This window comes from Homo sapiens, chromosome 10, assembly GCF_000001405.40.
Source record: "Homo sapiens chromosome 10, GRCh38.p14 Primary Assembly".
Lineage (NCBI taxonomy): Eukaryota > Metazoa > Chordata > Mammalia > Primates > Hominidae > Homo > Homo sapiens.
The window spans coordinates 112,853,561-112,861,637 of record NC_000010.11 but is presented as its reverse complement, the minus strand read 5'-3'; the positions used below and the strand labels follow the sequence as shown (position 1 = coordinate 112,861,637).

At 47.0% G+C, this 8,077-nt stretch overlaps 1 protein-coding gene across 2 annotated transcripts in view; it reads right to left on the bottom strand.

Moving 5' to 3' along the window:
* Positions 1-6,269: 6,269 nt before the first annotated feature.
* VTI1A (vesicle transport through interaction with t-SNAREs 1A) overlaps positions 6,270-8,077 on the bottom strand; it is a 408,381-nt gene continuing 406,573 nt past the window's right edge. For both annotated transcript variants that reach the window (NM_001365713.1, NM_001365711.1), the window contains exon 9: positions 6,270-8,062. Coding sequence is in view for 1 of the 2 variants with exons in the window: in NM_001365711.1 (NP_001352640.1) it covers positions 8,026-8,062 (37 nt within the window). In the remaining variant the exon portion in view is untranslated. The remainder of the gene's footprint in view (positions 8,063-8,077) is intronic.

The window sequence follows — 8,077 nt, the reverse complement described above, 5'->3', positions numbered from 1 at the left end:
TAGGGCAGGGATGGGTGATACAGAAGCAGCTCTACCTTCTGTATTTATGTAATTCTGAAGCCTTCTACCAGGAAGGTTGGAGCTCTCTTATTCCATATAAGGCTCCTCCACCATGTAGGAAAACACATGATTCCAACGCAGCCATGTGTCAAATCCATCCTTAAGGATTAAAGAAATAGAAGTAACAGATACTAACGCTGATATCATATCTGCAGACTGCCAGATAGACAGAGCCCTTTGAAGTTCCAATCTCTTGAAGGTCTCTTTGGACCAGGCAAACTCCCCATGCCACATCCCGTGAGGCCATGTAGGCCCCTGGTGACACTCCTCTTCTTTGGGACCATGGTGGGCTTTTGAATTTAGTAGGGAGGTGGCAAGATCCCATCAATCTCCATGTAGTTAGATCCATCTTTTCCTCAGTGAAAGAAAAAAAATCTCCAACACCACCTCCAAACACAGAGACCTACCCTCCTTTATAAAGTGCATTCCTCTTTCTGGTTTTAGTTTCAAGTGTCTCCGTATCCAAAATGAGACTGCCCTTTGCCCGCCTTGTATTTATCAATACATTGAATTCCAGACCTGCAAATGTGATGACTGAACCTGAGCGGAATTTCTGTAGTCTCCAAGAGATGCCCACTGGTTCTCAAAAGGGAAAACCAAAGCTAAGCCTTCCGTGGCTCTTTTCCCTCCTGTTCCCCACCCCCTCAACCAGACCTTACGATGTCAAAGGTGCTCCATCAGCACACAGCTTGGGTTGCCTACTTTCCCCTTTCTCTGGAAAGCAAGTTTTGGCAGAGTTGAGCCATCTTGTTCCCATTTGGGGCTCTCCTATAGAAAAGGCTCAGTTATCTTGTTCAGAGATCCCCAATAATCACTGCGCTTACAAAACTTGCTAAGGGCTATCATTACAGCAACCACATTTTCTAAACCCGTTATCAAAACTTCAGAGCTGACATTGTCTGGGAAAAGGAAACAGACCCTGTGAAATGTAGCCATACCAGAGAGAACAGGGACATGCTGGGGCAAATGCAGGGATAAGACATTGAGCTTTGGGAAAATAGAGAAGGGAGCAACTCTGAGAAAAGCCAAAAACAGTAAAATAAAAACCTCTAATGCAAATCAGGCTCCCAAGTGCACATAAAGATAAACGGGCCAGTCAGGGTGGGAACTTGGGTCCTGGGGCAGCTCTGAAACTCCCAAAGAGTTGCCAAATGTGAGAACTGATTTTCTAGTAAATTAATGAGATCTTGCTCTCCTAATTGTAATGACAGTTATTATTGACTGCACGACTTGAATGTGTCAGGCACTGCGCTGTGTTTTATATGTTCTGTATCACTGAAGTGCAGATACTAAAATGTCAAAAGGATTTTACCATAATTAGTCCATTCATCCATCTATCTATCCATTTGTCCATCCATCCATCCATCCATCTGATCATCCATCCATCCATCCATCCACCCATGTGTCCATCTGTCCATCCATCCATCCATCTGACCATCCGTCTGATTATCCATCCATCCATCCATCCATCCATCTATCCATTCATCCATCTGTCTGATCATCCATCCACCCATCCATCTGATCATCCATCACTCCATCCATCCATGCGTCCATCCAATCATCCATCCATCCATGTGTCCATCCATCCATCCATCCATCCATCCATCCATCCATCTATCCGACCATCCATCCATCCATCTGATTATCCATCCATCCATCTGATTATCCATCCATCTATCCATCCATCCATCTATCCATTCATCTATCCATCTGATCATCCATCCACCCATCCGTCTGATCATCCATCCATCCATCCATCTGTACATCCATCCAGTAACATTTGCTAAGCAAGTACTAAGTCCCTGTAGGATCATGATTACTATGGATTGAAGGAGGCCCACACATAAACAAGTAGCCCCATCACAGTGTGATAATATAAGGTGAGATGATTTTTCTAGGAATCTACCAAAGGACTCCCGGTTCCAGCCCCACCTCCCACCTTGTGAGTCAAATTAAAACGCATTCATTAATCCCATCTGAAAGTCCCAAACAGCTCTCTGCTTCAAGTGGTAATAAATATTTCATGCCCAATTGTGCTGCGTTCCTCGCTGTGTTTATTAAATGGAGTTTCTCATAATTCCAGTTATTCATTTTAATGGGTCAGGCCTTGGCTGTGATTTAAACAGACCGCTGAGGAAACAGCCGTGGTTAAACATTGTAACGGTATGGATTATTAATTTAATTGGCTGGCTATTACTTGTTTGGACTCTGAGCTAACACATTTAGTTCAGTCTCTGGTGGCCCATAAACCGCAAAGGTCATGACTTTAACATTCAGAAGAATGGGAAAAAGGAATTGAGGTTGAGATTAGGAAGAAAACTTACAAAACAGCATGGGGAAGACAGTGTGAGGAAGCACGGGCTTGCTGGAGGCAGGGCAGGGCAAAGGGGGTTCATTGGTTGGATTCGCATTAGAACTTCCTCAGCAACCAGCCCCTGGGCTGACAACTGCCAGGAGCCAGTCTCTCACTCAGATTTCTGAAAGGGCCAAACACTTAAGATATGGTGATGGGAGCACCCCACACCCCGGGAAGGCCACACCTGTTTTCTGGATGCCTGAACCCCAGGGAAGGGTTGTGTGTTGTGGAAAAAGCAAGTGAGAAGTAAGGGGGTTACCAGAATGGCCGTTCTGCAGACCCCTGGACATCAGAGCCATGAATGACCTACTTTCTCTTCTGCCAAAGGCCCTGTGACCCTTCTAGATGCCGCCTCCCAATGTGCAGGGGTCCCAGGACCCTGAGATCTAGATGAGATCATCTCCGTACCCCTGTACTCCATGACCTGTGGATATCCAAAGCCCCCTCCTCTTTTTATTTTTTTTTGAGACACAGTCTCACTCTGTAGCCCAGGCAGGAGTACAGTGGCACTATCTAAACTCACTGTAACTCCTAGGTTCAAGCCATTCTCCTGCCTCAGCCTCCCGAGGAGCTGGGATTAGTGGCACCTGCCACCATGGCCAGCTAATTTTTGTATTTTTAGTAGAGATGGGGTTTCACCATGTTGGCCAGGCTGGTCTGGAACTCCTGGCCTCAAGTGATCTGCTCGCCTTAGCCAAGCATGGTTGTGGGCACCTGTAGTCTCAGCTACTTGGGAGGCTGAGGCACGAGAATCTCTTCAACCTGGGAGGCACAGGTTGCAGTGAGCCAAGATCGCTCCACTGCTCTTCAGCCTGGGTGACAGGTAACAGAGCGAGACTCTGTCTGAAAAAAAAAAAAAAAGGGCCGGGTGTGATGGCTCATGTAATCCCAGCACTTTGGGAGGCCGAGGTGGGTGGATTACCAGAGGTTAGGAGTTTGAGATCATCCTGTTCAACATGGAAAAACCCCATCTCTACTAAAAATACAAAAATTAGCCGAGTGTGGTGGTGCATGCCTATAATCCCAGCTACTCGGGAGGCTGAGGCAGGAAAATCACTTGAACCTGGGAGGCAGAGGTTGCAGTGAGCCGAGATTGTGCCATTGCACTACAGCCTGGGCAACAGAGCGAGACTCTGTCTCAAAAAAAAAAAAAAAAAAAAAAAGTAGCACACAAATTACTCTATTACAGTTTTAAAAATATTTTGATAACTGTATTCTAATATAGTTGGATTACTCATCTTAGGATTTTGTTTTATCTGTTTAAAAACATTAATCTGAGAAGGGATCCTTAGCCTTCCCCAGGGGGCCAATAATGGGCACACAGAGTAATTCAGGTTTACTCAGCCACCTTGACATTGCCAAACTCTGGACCTTTCTCTGAGTGGGAAGCTGTCTGTGGCTGTGCGGGCATTCTCCTCTCCACTCCCCCCAGTCACCTGCCTATTTGCTGCGTGGATCTTCACCGTACTATCAGTCCCCATGTGCTGATGAAGAAAGGGGACAGGGAGATTGGGTAACTTTGCGTTGCATATTTGGAAGCATCAGGCGAGACATTTGTGGCAGCAAGAAGTGATCATATTTGCCAGAATGTGACCAAGAGATAGGAGAACAGACCTCAAATTTGGAAGCAGTGGTTTGTGGACAAATAGAGTGTGTCAGTTTCCTAGTTCCTTTCCTGTCTCAAGAGTTGATGACTTTCATAGTTCTTACATTCAAAGTGAAGAGTAAGCCTGTGAAATGCATTATCTCAAGAGAAGGCACAGGCTGGAAGCTAACAACGGGGTAGCTTATATCAGATGTGCAGCCAGTGTCTTCCAATAGAGGCATTCAACACATGGTTGGCTGATTGATGAACAAATGAAGGAAGGAAGGAAGGAAGGAAGGAAGGAAGGAATGATAGTTATGGTGGTTAATTTTATGTGTCAACTTGCATGGGCTAAGGGATGCCCAGATAGCTGGTAATACTATTTCTGGGTATGTCTGTGAGGGAGTGGAAGAGATTAGCATTTGAATCAGTAGACCCAGTAAAGAAGATTGCCCTCACCAATGTGGGCAGGCATCTTCTAAGCCAGTGATGGCCCGGGTAGAATGAAAAGGCAGAGGAAAGGTGAATTCACTCTTTCTATTTGAGCTGGGACATCCATCTCTTCCTGCCCTTGGACATTGGTACTCCTGGTTGTTGGGCCTTTGGACTTAGATCAGGACTTACACTATCTGCTCCCCTGTCCTCAGGCCTTCGGACTTGGTCTTTAGACTTGAACTTAATGATACCACCAGCTTCTTTGGTTCTCCAGGTTGCAGACAGCAGATCATGGGACTTCTTTGCATCCATAATTTTGTGAGCCAATTCCCATACTGTCTCTGTCTCTCTCTTCCTTTCTCTCTGTCTATGTGTGTATAGCTAGCTAGCTAGCTAGATCCAACTGGTTCTATTTCTCTGGAGAACACTGACTAATACAGAGGACTTATATAAATTACTAGGGGAGGCTGGAGATTGGGAGATATAAGTCTATAAACAGCATGATCCCTAAGAATTCAGGGGCCCAGTTCCATCCCCAAATGTGTGTATGTGTGTATGTGTATAAAATCTAATTACAAAAAGCATCATAGATATCCTAGAGAGAAAAAAAAAGTAACAGATGTGGTGTGTATTATTATTTTCTTCAATCCCAACAGAAGCCCTGCAAAGTCCTGCCATGTGCTGCCTTTCACCCCCCACCCATCTGCCTGCCCCGCAGGTGCTCCCGCTCCCACTTGCTCCTGTCCTTGTCCACACTGTCCACACACCCAGCTCAGCCTAAGGAGAGGAATGGGAGGGGTGTGGCATTGGCTTCAGGACAGAGACCACCAAGCAACGTGCTGCCTCTCCAGGGTGGAGGTGGGAAATGGACAGAGAGGAGCCTTTAATTCTGGCAGAGATTGAAGTTGGAGATGGGTGAGGGCAGGTGAGATGAAAGGGGGGCTTCTGCACATTTTATGTGGAAAAGCAAGAGGCAGGGTGAGCTGTCCATGCACACAGACTCCAAAGCAAACCCTTTGCAGATGTGTGAATGGTCTGAGGCTCCCCTGAAAAAGATAGGAGTGCCTGCTTTCTTTTCCATGGCACCCCCATCTGTACCTGGCTGAGCGCAGGGTTTCAGAAGGTGAGACTGTCTGATTCTAGGAAAACCAGGCTTGGTAGCTGCTTTCCTGAGATTGAAAGGGAGTGTGTTTAGCCCTAGGAATCCATCCAGAGTGAGCTGAAATCACTGTTTATGAAAGGCAAACCACTCCAGAATTCATAGAGATGGTTCTCCATATTGTCCTTTTAAACTCTTGAGACAGTGTGTCCACAGGTGCACTCACAGCAAGCATGGTGTCTATGAGAACAAGGCTGAGCAAAGAGTTATTGATTTCCTACTATGTGCCAGGCTGAAAGGAGGATACAAAAATGAATAAGTAATACCCCTGCCCTGCACAGGGAGACCTCAGGGGAAGCAACGAACCAGGCAACTTCAGCCCAAGCTCTGTGGGCAGGAGGTCTGTGCATCTGTGGGCTGCCATTTTGTGTGGCCGTGTTACCTAATATTGCTAGGAGAGCAAGCTCCACTTCCAATGGCCTATATTGGTGGCATGGCTATGCCAGTCCCACCAAAAGCAGGCTTCAGGAAGACTTTGCGTTTGGACATCGCCAGGTGTTTATTTGATTTTTCCTATTTCTTGGTTTTTAATTGGTTTCAGATGTGAGTACCCAATAGCGGCCCTGAATAAATAAAACAGATCATAAAATATGGCCAAGCAAAATGGGCGTGAGTAATCCCAGAGTGCATGGAAATGCACTTCCAGAAAGGCTCATAAATAATGAGGTGGAAACAGTAGTCTATTTTCTCTTTAATGGAAAGCCAATTAGGAACCCTCTCTGGACTGGCGGGAAGAAGCCAGGTTCCTTTGTTCTGTAATGAGGAGGTGGGGGTAGAGTGGGTGAGGGGAAGCCACTAATCTTGCCAGAAAGGGCAGAGAAAATTCTCTGGTCATTGGGCCTGCAGAGAGTGACAAAATAGGAAGTTCAACACAAAGTAGGCTTCCCATCCTGGGTCGAGCTTCCCATCCCGGGTCGAGCTTCCCATCCCAGGTCGAGCTTCCCATCCCAGGTGGAGCTTCTCCAGCTCCTTCCCAGTTGGTGCAGGAAGGACTTTAAGCCCAAGCTGACTTGGGAAGAACTGGCAGAACTCTTTGGAGGCCCACAGCAGGCAGACTCTCTGTGAACTCAAAGAATCCTGTGGTTACTGACCCATTCTTGGCTCCTTCCCCTCCCTCACTGAGGCCCGGAAGGAGAGCCCCAGCTGGTACCATCTCCAGGGTGGGCCAGCTTTGAGCTGCAGGAAGGAAGACGGGAGTGCAGGATTCTAGAGGCGTTCTCTGCAGCAGGCGGCCCAGCAGACCCCTAGTGAATCTCCTTCTTATCGCTTCCCGATTGCTCTCCCTACATACTGGTGTCGCCTCATTCCAGACACTGGTTTTCTTCAAGCTGGTAATGCCTTTCATGGTGCTTCCATGCAGAACATTATAGATGATCTTGTCCCACTGAGGCATGGCAGGTATAGTGTCCTCCATCTTTCATAAGAGGGAACTGAGAAACAGAGGGGAAATGAGACGGTCGAAAGTCACACAGCCATGGAACAGCAGTGCTGGAAATCAGTTCTGTTCACTCTGCATGATCTCTGGGCGGCCGGGGCCCAGCTGGTGACTGTAAGTGGGGGTCATGGTGGCCTCCCCTCCGAAGCATTAGAGACATCTATAGTGGTTAAGAGCACAGGCTTTGGAGTCAGGGAGACCTGAGTGAAATTCTTGACTCTATCCCTTAATAATTGTGTGGTCTTGATCAAGTTTCTTAATTGTTCTAAGCCTGTTTCTGCATTTGTAAAACAGGGCTACTGAACTTGGGCTAATGGACTTAGTTCCCACCTGACAGGAAGCAATAAACAGCAGTGATACTGCTAGTACTTATTATTGTTAGAAGGCTTTGTGGCCAGCAGGCCTTTGGAATAGCCGGTGTGTTTCCTGTGGAACCCACTCAGGAGCATCACTACTGAGTTCAGACTCTGTCCATGTGAACAGTGTTCCCTGGAGACCTGGCTCAGTATCATATGAGGACCCAGGGAGGCAGCCAGACATGGCTAGCTGCCTCCAGCTCTAGGTTCATGCTGAGCAGGGTGGAGAAGAAGGGAGGCCTGGAGCTGAGGATGTCTGCTGAGAACTTCTCGGAGGATCTGAGGATCTTCTGTGCTTACCAATACAGAGTCACAGGGGAGGCAGCAGGTCCCTCAAAGCCAAGGCTCTTCCTACGTATGCTTCTAAAACAAAATCAGTGGCAGTCTGATGGAGAGAGGAGTCCACGGAGTGTAGCAGCTTTGCTGTGTAGAAGCTTGGGCCAGAGCTTTTGGTAAAGGGCCACAGCTGGAGAATCTGTTGCTTTTGTTCCTTATGATGAGTTTTTGGCAAGTTTTGTTTTTATTTTTAAAGAAATTTCACTTTTCCTCCATTGAAATGGATAAAACACTGCTCACCCATCTGTGTGACTCAAGGAAATGCTTGAAAAGCAGAGAGGTCTTGAAGAACAACACGAGGTCTCAGGAGACTTGACCATCGATGTTTGCCACTGGCCACCTGTGGAATGTGGGT